General features: G+C 33.7%; 2 long non-coding RNA genes across 10 annotated transcripts in view; one reads left to right on the top strand and one right to left on the bottom strand.

Annotated features, from left to right (window-relative positions):
• Window positions 1-22227, bottom strand: part of LOC107984685 (uncharacterized) — a 216619-nt gene that overhangs the window by 121416 nt on the left and 72976 nt on the right. For 5 of the 8 annotated variants that reach the window (XR_007064101.1, XR_001750697.1, XR_001750694.2 and 2 more), the window contains 2 exons: window positions 4570-4696; window positions 3322-3611 (listed from right to left, as the gene is read on the bottom strand). This is a non-coding gene — a long non-coding RNA (uncharacterized LOC107984685). Of the gene's footprint in view, window positions 1-3003; window positions 3612-4569; window positions 4697-22227 lie in introns of those variants that run through there. The other 3 variants (XR_001750699.2, XR_007064100.1, XR_007064099.1) reach the window with 3 other exon arrangements.
• LINC02326 (long intergenic non-protein coding RNA 2326) overlaps window positions 1437-22227 on the top strand; it is an 89407-nt gene continuing 68616 nt past the window's right edge. For both annotated transcript variants that reach the window (NR_184206.1, NR_184205.1), the window contains exons 1-2: window positions 1437-1555; window positions 3346-3462. This is a non-coding gene — a long non-coding RNA (long intergenic non-protein coding RNA 2326). The remainder of the gene's footprint in view (window positions 1556-3345; window positions 3463-22227) is intronic.

The following is a 22227-nucleotide window of genomic DNA, read 5'->3' as shown; positions in this document are numbered from 1 at the left end:
GGGTCATTATGTTGAGTGAAATAAGCCAGGCACAGAAAGACAAATCTTTCATCTTCTCACTCACATGTGGGAGCAAAAAAAGTTGATCTCATGGAGGTAGGGAGTAGAATGATAGGTACTAAAGGCTGAGAAGGATGTTGGGAGAGGAGGGAGGAATAAAGGGAGATTGATTAATGAGTACCAAGCTGTTAGAAAGTATAAGTTCTAATGTTTTATAGCATAATAGGGTGACTATAATTAGCAACAATGTATGTTATATTTCAAAATACAAGCAGAGAGGATTTGAAATGTTTGGAACACATGGAAATGATAAATGCTTTAGAGGAGGCCTATCTTAAATACTTTGACCTGATCATTACACATTCTATGCATGTAAAAAAAATCACATGTGCCTCCTCAATATGTACAAATATTGTGCATCAATAAGAAATTTAAAACTAGAAAAAAGATTTCAACAGTTGAAAAGAAGAGGAAAGGCATTCTAAGCAGAGGCAATAATGTGAAACTACCTGAGATGGGAAGAGCTTAACATTTCTGAAAAGCTAGAAGATTGTTATAGGTGGACCATGGCAAGCAAAGAGGACAGCAGCTTGCCCAGAAGCTGGGGAATCGGGAAGTTGCCAGATCATGTGAAGACTTGGGCTATGAAGAATGCTGGATTTCACATCAATCAGAGTTCAAAGCCACTGAAGGATTTTAAGCAGCATGATTGTTTTTGTTGCTGTTTTTAAGTGTATTTCAGTTGTGGACTAAGCTCTTTGTCTAGTCTTAGACAAATAAATGTGTTAAGTCTTCTAACGGAGGCTGTAAACTGCCTCTTGGAGAGTCAAATATGGAGTACAGACATTTATTTGTTTTTCAATACGCTGGCCCAGTTTTAAATGTTTGTTTGTAACTAACATCTGGATTTCCAGGATTTCTGGAATGATCTTCCAGGAGCTCTGTGAAAGGAGAATATCAGGCAATGTTGGTTGGCATTTCCCATGACAACAATCTTCAGTTGTGTTTAGATGGTATGTCCATTCTCCAGATTTTGAAGCTCCATATTTATCATGGAGCTACTGTATCACTGAATCTAACAGAGTTACAGATTTATGTTACCATCTAGTCTTTGTAGATAACTTTGCAATGCCTGCCTAGTAACCTTTGGTAGAGCAAACTTCTGTGTCTTTGAGTAAGCTAGTTTCTAAACTAGATTATAGATTTTTTTATAGATGATGTTTAATAGGCCAGCTGGGGGAAATAATGGAGAACAGTTAAGAGCACAAGTTTTAGATTCAGAGGCCCCCAATTCTGTAAGAAGCCCCAACCTCCAGGACCAATTTATCTCCTATCATTTGTCTTCTAAACGCAGCACTCTTATCACCCCTAGGTATTTGACACTTCTCTATATGCCAACATTTTCATGCCTTCCAAGCCTGTACCTTCGCTGTACAATTAGGGACGCTCAGTCAGATGAGGCAACAGAGGGTGAGTAAACACTGAGAAGCTTGGTGCTGGTATACTCACACAATTGACCCAAAGCAGAAGTCAGCAGGAATGGGAGCTGCAACAAGTAAGAGTGGGAGAATTGACCTGTAAATGATTAGACAGGATGAGAGAGAAGATGGGCAAGACAAGAAGCTAGGACCACAGACATTACCATAAATATTCTCAGGTCTGGTAGTACAAACAGAAATAGCAGACTCTGTGAATAATCCAGAGATGTGGTCTGGTAACGTTGATATACTTTGTCCTTACTAACTACAAGTTGATAAGGAGCAGCACTATGGACTGCATATCTGTGTTCCCCCACATTCATGTGTTGAAATCCTAGCCCCCAAGGTGATGTTGCTAGGAGGTAGGGCTGTTGAGAGGTAATTATTAGGTCATGAGAGTGGAGCTGTCATAAATGGGATTAGCACTCTTACAAAAGAGGCCTGAGAGAGTTGCCTCGGCCTTTGGCCTTGTCAGGTTACACTGAGAAGACAGCTATCTATGAATCAGGAAGCAGAGCTTCACCAGGCACTGAATCTATTGGCATATTGATCTTGAACTTCCCAGCCTCCAGAACTGAGAAATAACTCTCTGTTATTTACATACCACTATTCTATGGTGTTTTGTTATAGTAGCCCGAATAGACTAAGATAAGTAGATAATAGCAGATAGCAGATATGGTTTAGATGGTGTCTTAAGACTTTGAGGTAGATTTCAGGTTCTTAAATTGGGGAACCCAATCAGTGATAAGTGGTTTGAATTCTATTAATGTGAAATATAGTAATAAAGCCTCATTAACAACAGGGATTTGGCGAAGTGGAAGAGAAGGCTTAAAGTTCTATTTTCAGATAAAATGGTATAACCTTCAACTTCCTATTACCATGAGTTCAATTGTTTTGGTTTTTAGATCCCACAAATAAGTGAGAACATATGATGTTTGTCTTTCTGTTCCTGCCTTATTTCACTTAACATAATTATCTTCAGTTCCATCCAAGTTGTTGCAATTGACTGCATCTTATTCTTTTTTATGGTTGAATAGTGCTCCATTGTGTATGCATACCACATTTTCTTTATCCATTCATCTGTTTATGAACACTTAGATTGGTTCCAAATCTTGGCTAGAATTTCTGATTGCAGAACAATTGAAATAAATAACAGAATTGAATGTTTATTGAATGTTTTTCTTTCTTTTGGGCATTTTTAGGCTCAAAAGAGATAATTATAACTAGCATGTGCATCATTTTATAATAATTACAAAATATGTTGGCATATATTATTATTATTACCACTGCATTATATAACTTGAACATTTAGTGGTACTTTCTGGGTTGTTTTGCTTTTGCTAACAATAAAAACAAACTACAGTACACACACATGTATTTTTCTAATCCCATTTACTTTATTTTGTCATGCTACTTTTAAAATTCTGCTACTTTGCTCCATTTTATATACCTTTAGTACTCATATATATAATAATTATAATTATTTATATAATTAATTATATAATATTAGTAATTATGAAGTTTATTTTCTGGAAAATTTTATTTTTGTTATCATCCATAGACTTATAAAGAAAATAATGGCAACTTTTAAATGATTGATGAAATATTCTTTTTATAGTTAAATGTCATTTTTTACCCAAGGATACCAAATATTATAACAATAATTTCAGAGGCTTAAAATATTAGGAAATGTTAATAGGCCAGAAATTGTGTACAGACACATGTGCATTGGAGCGTTCAAGCAGGTTCACAAATACACTCGTAAGTTTTACCCTTGCAAATGATTCTGACATATCTTTTGTTGGTCTAGTCACTCTCCATTATTACGCTAAGCAAAGATTACCTTTGTTCTGTGTCTCAATTACAGAGCACGAAGAAGAGAAAACAGAAAACATCCATTGAATCCTCTGCCTCTGGTAATGTATGGCTCCCAGTATGCCTCCTTCAAGAGCATGACTGACCCAATTACTAGTATGAGCAAAAGGTATAATTTTTAAATGTATTTACTTGAATGAGTCAATAGCATCTGATAAATCATGCAATGTAAATCAGTAAGATATACCTAAATTAACTAATATACCAGGACATACCTCCCATCTAACCAGCCTTGAAATGTAGACCAAACTGTCAAATCTAGAATTAAAAAAAAAAAAAAGGAAATAAATTAGGGCCTTGCAAAGTCGCAGAGATATTTAGGATACGTAAACTAGATTAAGAAATCAAACAATTTATGATCCTTACTAAACCTGCAAATTGAAAAACATTAACATCTTCCTTGGCACAACATCGTTTTCAAATCTATATGACATCGCTTGGCTCCATTTTTAGTCAGCATAATTTTGGCTTCTATTCTTACATGGATAACAGCCAAATTCATCTGTCTTCTATGTCCAATCCTAGCATCTTTGTTTAGTTCCTCGACTGAGATTCTGTTTTAAATAGCCTGAAACATTACTCTAAAGAAAGAGATTTTCCTGAGCAATTTGAGGTATCTTTGTCAAATCATATAGTTATCTGAAGCTTTGTTTTCAATTCAGAGGTTCGAAGAGTGTAGATTTCTTTCTATAACTTGCCTAGAGATTTCCGTGCCTCCTTTCACCAGAAATTGCTTTGATTAATATAATTCTCTTTCTGCTATGATTTCTTTTGCTAGTCACTGCCCTCTTTGATGAATGAAAAATGCAGGTGCCAGATTTCTTAGGAGGGCTAGGTTTGAGGGCAAAGTGTGCATTCCTACTGCCACAAATTGCTTTTAAAGCTTGAGTTTTTACATGTGTTTATAAAACCCTGGAAGATTATTTTTCAGATCTTGAGCCTGTTGGCCAGCAAATCCATTCCTCAACCCTCTGGTCCCTGAAGGCTAGTTTCCTTGGGCTCCTAGGCCAGCTGACTTCTGTCTTGGGTCAGTCAATGGGAGATGGAAGGTGGAAGATGGAGGGCAGGAGGAGGGAAGTGGTTAGAATAACCCTCCTTAAGCAGTTTGTCTCTTCTGTGATTCCAGCCTCCACAGTATATGCCCAGCATAGTTGTATCATCAAAGGTGACCCCGGGTGTAAGGATATTGTTAATCTGTAGGTTACACTATTCTTACCTATCGTTCTCAGATATTGCATCATCTTTGCAATTAATTCCTTGCATTAGATTCCCTTTTCAGAAAATTCTTGAAGTGGATTATGTTTCTCTGGATAGATCCCAGTTGAACAAGCATCAATTCTTAGCTAAATATAAATAGAGAGATTTTAACTTTAACAAATTTGTGACTGGCACTTGCAGAAGAGAAATTTATGAGGCCTATTGTATCATCTGAATGAATGCTAATCATATATTTACAATAAAAGTCACTGCTTAGAAAAATCCTACAAAAGTATAAAATAATGGTATTGTAATTCAGAAGAAGATTAATTGGACTTGATATTTAGAAATATATATTAATTATTGAGACTTTTAAAATTTGTTAGAAAATAAATTGAGATGTTTGTAAGATATTCTTATATGGTATGTAAAAGCTTAGTAAGCTTTTCTGATTTATAGATTCAGTTTTTGTGTTCAAGCAAATCTCTCTGAATTTTTTCATCCCAGGAAGAAACCCCCAATTGAACTGATGAAAAACATAAACAGTGGCAATGAATTATAACCCAGTTAAAACTGGATCTGAAAGCTGAATAAAAGACATGCAAAAGCTAAAAATGCCTATGCCTAATTAAATCATTATTAATAAAATAACTGGATCTAATTCCAACAATACGGGTTTTTCTTTTGTAACTATTTGTTTTCCTAATTTGGCTCCTAATAATAAATGTTATTATATCACAAAAGATCACCACCTTTTTAGAATGTATCACAAGTAAATTTAGTACTCTTAAGACCTAGCAAGAATTATTTCAAAATAACATAATACCCAACGTTTTCTGTGAAGTACAGATTTTGTTTTTACTTTTGTATCTGTATTTTACCCATGGAATCATAGATTAATATACATTTTTGTCACCCCTTATATATGATTCTTACATGTCACTTATATGTACATACAGTCACATTCAGAAAAACATTTCAGAAGGAATCCCTTACTTGGTATTTCATGTGGAAGAGATAAAGTTCAAACACACTGATATAATATGCAGAGTCAAAGCAAATAGAAAATATGGCCAATTCCCAGGATGACTCCCTTCTGGTTACAGTGTCCTGGATGGTTAAAGCAATGGAAAGAAGCAGAGGGATAGTGCAAATAGACCTGATCAAAATATGTTGCTGTGACATTGGTTTTGTTTGTTTGCTTGTTTGTAATAGAATCTCACTCTGTTGCCCATGCTGGAGCACAGTGGAGGCTCAATCATGCAGCCTCAAACTTCCTGGCTCAAGAGAACCTCCCAACTCAGGCTCCTGAATAGCTGGGACTATAGGTGCACACCACCCTGCCCTGCTTTTTTTTTTTTTTTTTTTTTTTGTAGAGATGGAGTCTTGCTATCTCATCCAGGCTGGTCTTGAACTCCTGGGTTCAAGCAATCCTCCCACCTCAGCCTCCCAAAGTGCTGGGATTACAGACATGAGCAACTGTACCCAGCTTGCTGTGACATTCTTGATTCCTATATCTAGTTGAAGCTTTGCAAACACATGAAAATAATTTGAAATGCCTTAGTTTCCAAATGATATTTTTATGAGAACTAGTTCTACTTAGATATAATCTGGCAAGAGATTTTGAAGTAGAAAAGTTACCTATATTGTCACCACAGTCATAACTGAGGAATTGCATTAGCTGGCAAAGCTATTCTTAGAAGCCACCCTGGCCAACTCCTTCCCCTATAAAAGTTACAATGAATAAAACAAAAGGTAAAACTTCTTTTATATCTGGATCTATATAAACATATTTCTGTCAAACTGAAATATTAGTAACAGTCATATGACTGTTTTCCCCAATGATATGTAAACCAAAACATTTTAAAAATATATTTCTTTGAAAACATTTATTTTTCTGCTAGTAAAAGGTGCCTGACTAGCGGTCTCTCTCTGTGAAGAACAAAGTTCAGATAACAGGGTATTTTTTTCCCATGATGCCACCCCTCCTTCTTCAAGCTTCTCCATCTCTCTCTTTCTCCTAAATATTATGGAAGCAACCCTACTCAGATTCAAATTATAGTGGTGCTTCTCTAACAATAATGTACATACAAACCACCTGGGGATTTTGTGAAAATGCAACTTGATTCAGTAGGTCTGGGTATGCCCTGAGATTCTGCATTTCTAACAAGCTCTCAGGTGATAACCAGATGCTGGTCTATAGATCAAATTCTGAATAGCAAGGAATTAAAAATTTTATCTCTCTTCCTTGTAAAGTATATGCTTCTTGAAGACAAGAACTGGGTCTTGCTTACATCTTGATACATGGCATTAGTAAATATACTTCAATGAAGCATTTATTACATAACTGTTCTAACCATTCACTCCCCGTGCTCTGAGAAAAATTGTTAACTTTCTATACATGAAGAGTGAGAACTGTAAAGGCAAAATATCTTTATACATAAAATAATATATTTTGACCATATTAAATTTATGTATGTGTATGTTTCCACCATATATATGTATATATACGTATATACACGTGTGTATATACATATGTATATAATTTTAGCTTTATAACAACTGCATTGATATTCCCATGGAGAAATCATATCTCATGAATGCTTTATATATACATGTGTGTATCTATACACATGCATATATACACATATGTATATAATTTTAGCCTTATAACAACTGTATTGAAATTCCCATGGTGAAATCATATCTCATGAATGCTTTATCTGTAAACACTGGCATTGTAAAAGTACATTGCAATGAAAAGTAAACAATAAGTATGAAATGCCTTTTCTTAGAGGGAAGGAAGATATAATGGGCAAAATGTTGAAGCATTGATAATTGTTAGATATATATCATTATAGTTTAAGATATTGAATGAATTCCTATGAAATATAAAAGAAATTTTATTAATAGAATTTAACTATCTAGCTCACCAATCTAAACTTTTTCCTAGTTTTGAACTTAGAATCATAAAATAGAATTAACACTAAACATTAGGGAAACCCAAATCCTGTATATTAGAACATTTGTGTGTGTGTGTTGGTGGGGGTTGAATGAAGTTAGGAGGCCCAAACTAATAGAGCCTTCTTATTTCCATTTAATAAATTCACGGATTCTTTTGACTTCATGTGCAGAAGATGGCATCATATTAATGCTTTATATGCAAACTGATTCTAGGATTTCCTGCAAATTAAAGCATAACATGGGGAATGTGATGCACACACACATTTTCTCAATATTTTTCTTTCCTGCTTCTCTTTCCCCAATTGACCAGTAGTAAATCCCAATGCTAATGGAATCTGAGAGGATCACTAAGAATTCTGAGAGGCACACACTCTTGTTGCCCTTTAGTACTTGACTTTTCTGATTCATTCTTCATTTCCCTCTCCCATCTTTCTCTTTCGCTCACTCTCTCAGTCTTATGAAACAGAAAATGAGAATATTGAGACTATAGGCTATAGGGCTCTGGTCAAAAAGAGGTGACAAAAAGGTAGTAAAGATTCAGAAGATGACAACTGCTATTTTACTTAATCTGTTAGTATCCATATGCCTGTAAGTATGAAGTTGAATTGTTTCTATTGGAGAGTTGTTTTCTAAAATGCTAAGCTTTTTTGGTTGTTGATGGCTGAAGTACGACAGCTCATATGTATCGTTGAATACTCTGACAGCATGAAAAAATGTACTGGCTCCTGGATGTTTTATCTTAATGTACCTACAAGTGCCACATTATATTACAGTTTCTTCATACCTAAAAGGTTTTTCATTGTTGTCTAGGAGAGTTTTGTCTGGTTCCACCTCATGAATTCCTCATTGGGGTTTTCTCCCCCATCATTAAAGTAATTTATTTTCAGAATAAGTCCCAATCACTGTATGCGGCAGCATTTTCATCCATGTGTTTAAATGTGATAAATTGCTTTCTATCAGTTATATTTATAGAAAGAAATTCTTACTGCAAATAAAAACAAAATGTATCTGTGCTATTACCAATTTGAGTTTTAAAAATTAGAAACATAAACTGTCTGATTCATATTTGGAATAACATTTATAATCATAAACATAACAAAAAACAATATCCATTTATACATATCACAATGCTATCAACATATTAATTACTCAATATTTAGTGGTAACAAAAAATAAAATGTTCATATCCCCATTAATATCACTCAGTAAATTTTTCAATTTTCCTTTATCCAAATCCAAACTTTATATGGGATATATTAGATAATAAGATGTATTAGATAATAATATAAAGTCCCATTTATAATTATCTTGTCACCATTGTTTAGAATTTGATAGCACAACATCTACTAGGATATAGTAATTTAGCCCTCAGATGTAAAACCAAAGTGTTCTGCAGTAATATGTTGGCTTGTATCAAGATAAACTAAAAATCTCAAGCACTCCATTTCCAAGATCACTTCAGAGAAATAAAAAGGCACTTAACAGCTAGGAAATCCTATCCTATAGGATCACAAACAAGAATTGGCTATTCAGATCCAAAGATATGAGTTACTGCTTTTGCTGTCCAATATGTCTGAATAGGTTTCATTTATAAAGACACTCCTTACAAAGCAGTATACATTTTACGTATTCAATAATGCTTATGAAAAAGGTAATTAACTTTTCTTTGACTATGCAGGAAAAAAGAACAAACCGCTTATAAAGAAACTATAGCATAAACTTTATTTCCTTTACATATTGAGTTAAATTTACTGCAGAGCCAACATGATTTGTAATGCAAACCATTTTATCTTTGCAATATTTAGGCACAAACCATTGGTATTTAATGTCTTTTTCTGGTAACATAGACATCTAAAAAATCTTTGTAATGAAATATTTCATCCATTACTGTAGGTTGCAGGAACTACAGCAGTCAGGTGGAGGATATTTTGATGGAAAAAAAACTCCAAACTTCTCTAGATACCTTATGGGTTGAGCTGTCCTTTCTGCTGTGGGTTTTTTGTTTTTTGTTTTTTGTTGGTTTTTTTTTTTTTTTTTTTTTTTTTTGCTAAGGAATTGACGAAAATTAATTTGCGAAGATGAGAGACTAATAGAAGGAAAAAGTATATTGACTAAAGTTAGACAAATAATGGCAATAAAAAGCTTAAGATATTATGGCCAAATTTGAATCTAATGCTATTCAAAAGAATTTAGCATTTATAAGAAGTTAACAGGCTTTTACAATATTCCCAGTAGCTTTTTCCTCCATTGCTGTGGATATTTATATGGTTTTAAATCTAGCAACTGATTTAAGAATCTGGACCTAAATATAGCATTATAAAAAGCCTTAGTATTCTTCCTATACTCAAGTGCCATACATTAATATGCATTTCATAATGTTCACTGTAATTTAGTGAGTACATATATCATCATAAGTTTAATATTATTGTATGTTTAACCTGTTGGCAAAATCGAGTCTAAAAAAGAATCTAAATGGAAGAAATTTAACGTGGGTTTACAAAGAGAACGAAAGAGTTGACATTTAGTTCAAGTAAATGGTTCTTGTTCTCAATTAGAGCATCCAGTGAATATTAACCTCAAAAGTATATTTTATTTGCTGACCACAGCATTCATGAGATATGTGTGGTTGAATATCTCAACTGGTCCTGAAACTTTCTTAATTCGTTTCGTCTCTTCTTCCATGAACTTACACAGCTGTTTAGTTCTTTTGTAAACAGGGAAGGCTAGGCACTCTTGCACAGATCTTTTTAGCATATGAAACATATTGACATGAATATAACATATGTGCCAAAGCAATATTATTCAGTTAACATTTCAACGAAATGCAACATAAAATTTTAAATTACATATTTCTGCATGTGTTTGATTCTTGTTTACTGTATCTGATCCAGAAAAAAGGAAGACTCTCATTGTGAAAAAACATCTCTAATACCTTAGCATTTTAATATCATCTGAAAAGAATAGTTATAACCAGTCATACCAGTCATTTATTTTTCCATTGCTTAAAATTACCAGGTAGCAACATGGTAAATTCAGTTGATCAGGGCTTTTGATTCAATAGCGATTGTCCAGGAGAAGTTCACTGACAGACTTAGGTATATCAAATACAGAGAGCAGGTAGGATCTCGCATGATCTCACTTATATACAGAATCTTAAAAATATTGATCTCATAGAAGTAGAGAGTAGAACAGTAGTTACCAGATGCTGGGGAGGGGTGGGGCAGGGGCACTGGGGAGAGGTTTGTCAACAGGTACAAAGCTACAATTAGATAGAATAAGTTCTGGTATTCTTGCGCAGTAGGGTAATGGTAGTTAATAGTAATGTATTGTGTATTTCAACATAGCCAAAAGAGTGGATTTTCTATGTTTTTACTGCAAAGAAATGATAAATGTTTAAGGGGATAGATATGCTAATTACCCTGGTAATTATACAATGTATACATATATGGAAACATCACAATATATCCTATAAATATGTATAATTATTACCTGTCAATTAAAATGCTAAAAAATTAAGAAAGTGCATAGGATTATTTTGTTTCCTGGAGCAGCAAGGCAAAAAATAGAGGTTCTCCACCCTGGTCGAAATATATGACCTAAAGCAAGTCCATCACATCATGTCACCTTAGTTTCTACAAATAGAATGCACTGCATCTTTTCCTTTCTCAGGGAAAATAGTTGTAATCATGGATTACTTGCTGTTTACAATAAAAAAGACATGATATGTGCTATATTAAATGATATGTACCTTTTAATCATATTTTTAAAATACGCACTTATAAAATCTCTCTATGATTTAACACTTATCTTTCACTTTAGGAACAAAAGCATCCTGTACTTAAATAGTTTACATATGCCTTTTGTTTTTCATTTATTGTGTAGCTATGTAGGATTGTCAAAACCCTAACTGAAATGTAGCGTTACACTACTGCTTAGGTTTTAATAGTTGAAAATTAGGTGTTGGTTAGAATTTAATTTTCATAGCACTATGAATAACTTGAAAATATCTTATAAATACTTCAACAATATGTCTTTTTATTACTCCAATGCTCTACATAAGCAAATATCTCAGAGTAGAACATGATGGAGTCTTGCAAATTGAACAGATCCTGGAAACCAAAAAACAGGAAGCTATTTTTCTCAAAATGTTAGTATCAATTTCCAGATGTTGGATATACACTGAATGAGGAAGAAATGCTATAAAGGAGCATGGGTTATGTATTATGTAAGCTGAATAGAAAATTTCAGATTAATATTCATGACATTTCTACTTGCTAAAGTAAATTACCAATGTATATGTCCTCTGTAGGGTAACACTTTTACTTTTCCTACCTTACCTAACAGTAGAAGTTAAAAAGTTGTAATATATGTATTGCACTCTGACCTAAGAAAGGAAGTGAGGCAAGGAACTGATACCAAGTAAGCACTTGGCTCCTGGGGAAGGGGAGGTAAATGGTCTCCCTATACACCAAAGAACTGATGGGGAGGAGCTAGGACATGAGATATTTTGCAAAATGCAGTAAAAGCTCCCTCAGTAAAGTGCTGCTGTAACCTGATCTTCCTCACTGTCTTTCTTTCTTTCTTTTTATTAATAAGGCACTGGCTGACTTCCTTGCTTACATGACTGTTCCAGGATCCCTAATCTTCAGAAGATATCAGTGCTTCTAACATAAATCATGCCGGTCATCATTTAGCTTCTGTCCTTCCTTGGGGAGGACTTAACAAGAAATAGGGACTTTTAGGTAAATGAAATTTATGCTGACTCCCTCCACAGTGGGACTCACTTTGAAGTCCGATTAACAGAAGGAAGACCTATTTGGTGCAGGTCTATGACCCCTGTGAATTTCTTAATTCTCTCTCAGGTTTTACTGGTTCTAAAGGATTCTATATGACTTTATTTGTACTAAGAGAAGCCTGAGAAATATCCCTTTCAGAAATTTCCAGCCTTGATGGGCCTGAGAAGTAAAAGTTTCAAAATGCATCTTTTTTTTTTTTAACAAAAAAGTTTCATTCATCCTCCCTTGCAATCATTTGAACAACATTTTTTTTTCCCAAAACGATCCATGCAGATTAGTTGAATAGTTTTCTTGAGGAAAGAATTGAAATGGCAATTCAAATTCAGCTTCAATCAGAAACTCCATGATTTTTAGCCTGATCTTTGTTGCTCCATAGGGTTGTTAGCTTACTAAGGAGCCTCTGGTGCCATTACACAATTTTTGCTTTGTAAAAGCAGGGACCCCAATGTTTGGGCAATTCTACAATCTGACTAGAGTTTCTCGTTTGCTTCCTGGAAGGAGCTTTGTTACACACCCAGTGAAGTGGTCTTAATGAAACTCCATTGCTGGTGACTAAAGGGCTTCCTGTGTCTAGTTAGAACATGGAGAGCAGGTTAATTGAGACCCTTCTCACTATGCCCAGGGGAAGCATTGTTAGCATCCAGAAGAATTTGGTTTCTGGAGTTTCCCTTTGCACAGATTCCATACTGTGTTATCCATTGCCAGTGGGATAAAAGGAGAGGTTTTTGAAAAGAATTGATACCATGATTCTCATATGAACAATGCTCCATGTGATAGGCATGACCAATCTAAAGATAAGTATTTCAAAAGGAAAGAAAAAGTTAATTCTGTCCTGTGGGGTAAAGCTTAACAAGAGCAGGAAGATATTAAAACTTAGGTGAATTTGCATCGAAGACATGCATTAATAACAATAGCAACAACAACAAAATATTCTCATCAATGATTAGAATTGATTTGTGAAAAGTTAGCCCAAATTTGTGCATTTGCATTCTCTTGTTTATCAATAAAAATATTGTTTTTACATAAACTTTTCATCTTGTCTGCCTGTTCCTCATCTGAATAAGCAAACACACACACAGACACAGACACACACATACACACACACACACACACAAACACACAACCATTTGTCCTTAGAAATATTAGTTGACAGTTGACGGTCCACATAGAAAAAGAATAATTTAAAATGTGTGGAGATTATTTTCTTTCAAGCTAGTACTCTATTTCACAAGTTTCACTATTTTTCACTGAACAATTTTAGTATTTGACAAAGAGATGTCCACATATTTGTATTAGTTTTTTGATCTACAGGTTTCCAATTTATTGCTAAACATGAACTCAATTCCATCTCATATAAGTGAAATTCTTGGGCTTTGCATTGACATCTGTTTGCCCAAAGCCAAGAAGATAATCCTTTAAGTCACTCAGATTGTAGTATCGTGAGCAGTCCTAGATAAACTTATAGACAATTTCCCAAGTATTACAGACTTCTTCTTCATCAGGTAGTACTTTAATCATCATTCAATTTTTAAACAACATTTGATTCAAATCTGGTAATTCAGTCCCATTGGATGTGAAGATTAACTGATTATTGTTCTTTTTACAGCAACCAGTTAAATTAATAAATTGCTTTATCAAGTTGTCCCTCAATTCTTTTGTAGTTATACTCAAAATTCAGTTACAGTCTTACTAATCACATAATTATAAATGTATTTTCTTGTTTTCTTCCAATTTATGAACATAGATACAAGAAAAAAGTCTAGAAACTGATCGGAGGTTTAGAAACCTCTATATTGTTTAGTAGTGAAGACATATTTATATGTTGGTAGGGCACATTCTGCATTAGCACTCACATCTACCACTGGTCATATATCAGTATGATATATAATATTTGCATTACTGTGATAATAAACAAAGAGGATAGAGTCAAGAAAAGTAAATATTAATGTTTAATGTGTTTCCAAATATGTAAAAATGTGTAGGGTCAAATTTGACCTCAATCAGTGCTGTCTGTCCAATTCAGTACGTAGCTAAGAGACATGCTTTCAGTGTTTCACTTATCAGTGCTCCCTGCCCACTTCTAAAATGTTGACTTATTTAACTCAAATAATGAGTCAAAAATCGAGGAGCAATTAAGCTGAGTGCAATTAAATTTAGTATGCCAGTCTTATATTCAGGTCAGAACAGAAATGAAAATTAAAGTAAGTGCCAAATTTGACTGATCAATGAAAAGATAAAACCTGAGATTTTAAGTTTAACTGGTGTATGGCAATTTAAACCTCAAACTCTTATAGGCATAATGTTTTGAAATATTGAAATGATTCTTTTCTTTCTAGAAAAATAAAGCTTTCAAGCAACTATAAATTTTACATTTTTTTGTCATGTGTCTAACTTCTACTAGGATTTATGCCTCATCTGAATGGTCATCTCCTCTTCAGAACTATTCCTGATCATTCTCACAATATGTCTCTCTTTTCATGTATTAAGCTGACTCAATACCTGTCCCAGTCACACGTTTTCCATAATCACATGCTATTTATTAGGCATAAACTTTCTTATAAAAACTCTTTCATCTATTGTTGTCAGAGAACTAATGTTTTCACCTAATTGCATTTTTTAAATCCTTCTATTTATTTATTTCTTCTACCCTTCTATTTCTTTCATTCTTTGTAATCCTCCCTTCTCTATCCTTCTAATTTGGACCTTTGGGGTTATATAGATGGATATATCTAAACTTTAAGTATTATGTATTGAATTTTTATTTAGATGATGATAAAGTATCTTGTACCAATTCATTCTTCCACCAACAACTACAAGAAAAACTGTATGGAATGTGTGTGTGTGTGTGTGTGTGTGTGTGTGTGTGTGTGTGTGTGTGTGTTTTAGGACATTGGAGAACAACCAAAGCAGTTAGGACTTGAGGAGTCAGTACCTTGGAGAAACAGAAAGCGGTGAAAGATGAGCCTTGTTTTTGGCACTGCTTTTCCCCTTGAGGCGTTTGTCAACTACCAATAAGCAGCTGAGAGACTAAGAAGCTTGTCAGAGATATTGGAGGTCTCATGGGGCTGAGGAAACAAAATTGGAATTAAGCCCAATCAAGGAAAAAGGGACCCTTATCTCTAATTTTTTGGTTGGGGTTCTAAAAGTATATGCTCAAGTACTAAGAGCACACCAGAAATAAATCATCTCTCACAAGACCAAAACCCAGCTACAAATTATCTGAATCTTAATTACAGTCTAATATTCTTCTAAACTGGAAGGGGAAGCTTTTTTACAGGGTTGGGAGGCCAATAGTTGTATTGGATTAGGACAATCTGCCGCTAGCCTGACTGCCTTGCTAGAATTAGAATATTTTCTGGAGGAAGACTACATTAGTCAGATCCTGAGGCACAGATTATCTCTGCAGTGTTGTATACATAACCTGTAACATTTAATATAAAGTTTTCAGGTGTACCACCAGGAGAAAAAAATCAAAGGGCCCAAAATTAAGAGAACAAACATATAATAGAATTAGACACTCAGGCAAATGAGATACCGGAGTTGTTAGACAAGTTTTTAAGTAAATGTAAATTACATTCTCAAGAAAATAGGAGACCCTGTTGAAATTTTCAGCAAAACCTAGTCTGTGTACAATAAACAAATGAATATTCTAAGGCTGGAAAAATAACAATAAGCAATTCTGAACTCAATTGATAACTTAATCACAGACCAAGTTCTTTTAACTGTTTTACCTTCTGCAGAATGAAGGATTAGCTGTAATTAACTTGAGTTAGGTAAAGATTTCTTAAACAAGACATAACTTCTGCAGGGTAGAGGGTTAGTGAACAGAAATTTAGGTTAGGAAAAATTATCCAAACTGAAGCGCAGAGACAATGAAGGATGTAAAATACAGAAAACAACATAAAAACCATATGGGACATGGTAAAATGTCTAAAGTATATGCAAATGAAGTATCAGAAAAAGAGAAGAAAGACAATATATAAAAGGAATATTCAGAATCAATAGAAGAGGATTTTCCAAAACTGAAGACAGACACTGAGACATAAAATAAATATACAGAAAACCACACTTCAGTATATCGTTAACTGCTTAAAATCAAAGTATACATCTTAAAAGCATCCAGAGATTGACTATTCATAATCCAGATATTATGAATATTTCATATTCAAAACAGTTACAGAATGATTAATAGCTTATTCTCAACAGTTATAATGGAAAGCACAGGACAGTGAAATGACCTTTTTTAAAGTGTATCAATCTAGAATTATATTAACCGGAAAATATTCCTCATAAATAAAGGTTAAGTAAATAAATACTCATAAACTGAGCAGATGCATCTTAAAGGAAAACCTAAGGAAATTCTTCAGAAAGACAGAAGTAAAGGCTTACAAAAAGAAATATAAAAAACAAAAGGAGTAAAACTATTGATAAATCCAATGAATATGGAAGTCTAAATCAATAATAGTAATATCTTGTGGGATTTAAAAATATATTTATCTAATACAGGATGTAAGGTCTCCAAACTAAAATTTACAAAACACTATTGAAAGAAAGAAGGCTTAATTAAATGATGGCATATGTGTCTTTACCAGTTAAAATACTCAATACTGTGCCAATTGTCACTCAAAGTGGTCTAACTTTCAATAGATTCCTGATCAAAATTGCAGAATGTTTCTTGTGTAGAAATTTAAAGCCTGATTCTAATATTTCTACGGAAATGCGTAGAACCCAAAATACTCAAAACAATTTTGAAGAATAGTGATAAAACTAGAGGATTTCCACTACCAGATATTAAGACTTATTATAAAGTTATGATAATTAAGACAGTGTAGTATTAGCACAGGATTGACCCAAAGCGCTCCTACCATTAGGAAGGAAGAGTACAGTCTTTCCAAATAAATGATGGCGAATCAATTGGTATCTGCAAAGAAAACTTGAATTCTTCCCTGTCTTACACCATATACAAAGATTAGTTCGAAGTGGGTGGAACATAAAGAAATGTGAAAATTAAAACTCTATCTTCTAGAAGATGTCAAAGGAAATTACCTCTATGACTTTGGCAAGTATTTTATAGAAGACATAAAATAAATAAACCACTATCCATTCAATAAAAAAAAATAGATTTCACAAAAGTCAATAACTTCTGTTCATCTAAATATACCATTAAGTGAGTGGAAGACAAATTATAAGCCAGAAAAAGCTCAATTTGCAATGCATAGTTTAACAAAAGACCCAAACAAAAGACCCAAATCCACAACATATTTAGGACTATAACCAAAATAAAATAACCCAATTTAAAAAACGGCTAGAAAAATTCAACAGGCACTTCACACACACACACACACACACACACACAATATTCAAATGGACAATAAACATGTAAAAACATATTCAACATCATTAATGAACAGGGAAACATAAACAAAAATCACAATGCTATTCAATGATATACCCACAAGAATGGTTAGAGTTAAAAGGATGAGCAATGCTAAATAACATGAAGAATTGATCAATTGTAAATTTATACATCGCTGAGGGCAGTAAAAGTTGGTACAAGCACTTTTGAAATTTGTTTGGCATTATCTGCTAAAATTAAATATATGCCTAGTCTATTATCCAGGAATTCTACTTTTGTATGTATACCTAACAAAAAATGAGTGCTCACATACAAAAGACATATATAGATGAACAGATTGATATATAGATTGTAGATGGCTAGCTAGACAGAGTGATATAAATATACATACATACACATGAATATGCATACATACACATACACAAGCATACATAGAACTAGAAGGGGCTTCTGGACAAAATTGAAGCTTGTAGAAGAAATGGAGGCAGAAATGATAAGACCAGAATGAACAGCTTACCTAACTCAAGTTAATTACAGCTAATCCTTCATTCTGCAGAAGGTAAAACAGTTAAAAGAACTTGGCCTGTGATTAAGTTATCAATAGAGTTCAGAATTGCTTATTGTGAGCAAGGAGACAGTAATAACTTTTCTTTTCCTTCTATTTCACGTCCAACTAGAAGACATCCTACACATGGTCAATAAAAACAGGGTAGAGTGGAATAAATGTATTGTCCAGGAGTGGGGAAGTGACAAAGTGCTAAATACTCTTTTAAATCATATTAAAAATGTGGAATAAAAACTCTAGAACCAAATTGTTTATAGTGATTCCCTCCCAGGAAAACATTTTCAATATTTATATTTCTATAGTGATGGAAGTTGTTATAAGAAGCTCTTCTATGTTACACAACTTGAAATAAAAATTTTCAAAGGCTAAAAGATATGAAGAATTTCATAATAGCACAAACAAAAAAGCAGAAAATTGATAAATAGCATTAAAATGCTCTACGTATTCTAAGTCCCTGCATTGTCTGGAAAGTAAAAGTATTCATGTACATTAGTCTTTAATAAGTCAAGGATAAATATAATCTCTAAAGATTAAGATAGTTGTAAAAATGTATATAAGATAGTAGCATTGAAGAAGTTGCATAATCAAATCTATTCAAATTATGCAAAGGAAGGCAAGAAAGAAAAGGAAGGCACGAAAGAAAAGGAAGGCAAGAAAGAAAAAAGTAGATGGAACACAGAACAGTTAGTACAAACAGAAAAATACTCAGATGGTATATAAGCTCAAATATATTATTAATTATATTGAATTTAAATATATTGAATTATATTTAATTTAAATTTAACTAAATCAAAATACAGTAATTTAAAAACAAAACTATACGCTGCTTATAAAATACACACATTAAATATAAGGTTGCAGATACATTTAAAAAGAAAGGGAGTTAAAAGATACACCATGTAAATAACAAGCAAAAGTATAGCTGATGTATTTTTATTTATATCAATCAAAATAGACTCTAAGACTAGTGGTATTGCTAGCAATAGAGAACTTTTATAGTAAAATTGCCAATCCATAAAGATTTTATATTATATTATTATATTTTATCTTATATTAAAATTTTGTTTATATGTACTAACACAAATAAAGAAGTCTAACAACATAGACTTCTTGGCCAAATAATAATAAACAATAAAAATAACAAGGTCCAAAATCTCCTTTTATGAAGTAAAAAACTTGGGTTTTTCACAGATATTTTTCCCATGAAGAAATTCTTTTTATCGTTCTTTTTGGCCCTCTATTGACTCAAAGCTGTGTTCCAAAAAGTGGAAGCTGACAATGCCCTAAGTTCCAGATGCATTATGATAGTTTTGTATTTCATATATATATATATATATACACACACACACACACACATATATATACACACACATATATACACACACATATATATATATACACATATATATACACATATATATACACACACACATATATATATACACACATATATATATACACACACACACACACACACACATTTTGATTCATCTCATCAGATTAAGCATAGTACCATTGGGTATAGACCCTATTTTACAACTGGTTGTATTTTTCATATCATGTGGCAAAGTACTTATAGTTGACAAATGCTCAAAAATATGGCTGATTGACTAAATGGATGGAAATTTGTAGTATCTTCCTTGAGATCTTAACAGAAGACTAATACCAGGAGATCTATATTCCTTAAAGCCATTCAAGGGTCAAAAAAGTTTTGAGTACTGCTACATATTACAGCCTATTTCGGAAGAAGCATAACAAATATTAGCAAATAAAGGCTCTAAGAAGTAACATGTTTAAGAATGTATTATTCGGCCGGGCGCGGTGGCTTACGCCTGTAATCCCAGCACTTTGGGAGGCCGAGGCGGGTGGATCACGAGGTCAAGAGATCGAGACCATCCTGGCTAACATGGTGAAACCCCGTCTCTACTAAAAATACAAAAAATTAGCCGGGCGCGGTGGTGGGCGCTTGTAGTCCCAGCTACTCGGGAGGCTGAGGCAGGAGAATGGTGTGAACCCGGGAGGCGGAGCTTGCAGTGAGCCGAGATCGCGCCACTGCACTCCAGCCTGGGCGACAGAGCGAGACTCCGTCTCAAAAAAAAAAAAAAAAAGAAAAAAAAAGAAAAAAGAAAAAAGAATGTATTATTCAATTATATATTCCCTGGCATACACCTCTGCAAAAGGTGTGCTGGAGTTGCTAAAATTGCTCCTCCCATCTCCTCACTGTCCGCAGGACTAATCCTCCTGTCTTTACCCTTGAAAGTCCTCACTATACCATGCGTCAAAGTCCATTCAATATTTAATAGTTGTTTAGGAGAGAACAACCTGCCTCATTCATCTTTTATTTTTCCATGATGACAATCATGATCCATTTAATCCTTAAATATTTTATAAATTCTTAACAATTTCAAATTCATTGTTCTTCATGGATTAACTAAAAAGTAATATCTTACTACTTTTGAAATATGGATTTTAAAATTAATATGTAATGATCTAGATGTTATTCATATCTTTCATGTCCATGAACCTGTCAGACATTTTGAAAAAGATCTTAATCAAGTTATGAAGAAATCATAGTAAAAATTTTAGCAGATAAATAGTTCCATACTGAACTGAATGAGTTAAATCTATTCCCCAATCCCCTAAAACTCTAGGAGGAAGTGATAGATACATTTACTTTCATGAGTCCATTAATTAAGTGCTTACAATGCTCTAGGCTTTTATCAGATATAGAGATGGTTCAGCCTCTTTCTGAAGAGACAAACTTCAGTTTCTATCTCATAGTTATTATTAGAATATGAATGTGGTTTATTGGTTTCTGCCACCCCTGGGGGACAATGAAGCGTATAGCAAAGAGAAAATACTGGCACAATGGTTGTCTCCAGCTAAAATTGCCTAAGGAACAGAAGTTGCTGTCTAATAGGTTGATGTGTGCTGGCAGAGTTATGTGAGAAGCTAGAATTGCTTCTTCCTACATGACGTCTAGCATGTCAAGCTCTCCATTTCATGGGGGTAGACCTGGTATTCTCCCATGTCTTTCATAATTAGCTCAAGGTAGTCCAAATCAACAAGTTTACTGATGGTAACACCATGAGTATGTAGGCAAATATAGTAACACGATAACTTTTCTAAGAAATACAATGTTTGTTAGAGCTCTAGAGATGCTTCTGATTCTTCTGGATGCATAACATGACATTTCTCATCTATTTACTAAAGATACCATTTACTATGGGTAGAAAAGGCCTATCCTTTTAAAAGACTAAATATTTTCTTATATGAATATCTTTAACTATTCAAAGGAAAACAAGTCAGTTGGAGAAATGAGGTTAATTTCTCAGCCCTGAACATGGAAAATTAGATACTCAATGATGCTCAATTCCAGATCTGTGAATCTAAATCTTTTTACCCCATTACCTACGTACTGCAAAGCTATGGGGAATCAGGAAGTTTAAATGCTTCAGCCATTTCTTTTTAAAAACTTTTTTGTGTATTTTAAACCCATGGAATTGCAGGGGAAGGAAGAATAATCCTCCTGTAAATTAAGTCATGATGCTCTTGATGATCAGGTCAGACCAGCTGATAAGCACTCAGTAGAAATGCAGCACAGCAATTGACTGTCATAAAGATTAACATCCATTTGCTTAGCTAATGAGTGCCACATGCATAGCATATCCAAGCTCATGCTTTAAAAGGTTGTATCCATTTTTATCATCACATCTGGAAGCACATCCAGTGTGATATACAGCTGCATGACTGATTTTCATGTTTGTGGTTTGTAATCAGTCTCGTTAATTTTTAGTCATATTCCATATATACTGGTGTACTTGGAAATATATATTATTGACATCTGGAAAAGTTTCAATTTTCAGGTGTTTATAAATGCATTTCAGCACAATTTTCCTTTCTTTTTGGCCTTGAATGGTTTTTCTCTTGTTAATTTCGATAGGCATACTATTTTACAACAGTTAGCCTTTCATAGGTGATAATGCAAGAAGATTT

Source organism: Homo sapiens, chromosome 14 (genome assembly GCF_000001405.40).
Source record: "Homo sapiens chromosome 14, GRCh38.p14 Primary Assembly".
Lineage (NCBI taxonomy): Eukaryota > Metazoa > Chordata > Mammalia > Primates > Hominidae > Homo > Homo sapiens.
The sequence above is the reverse complement of the archived record's forward strand: the minus strand, read 5'-3'. Positions and strand labels throughout refer to the sequence as shown.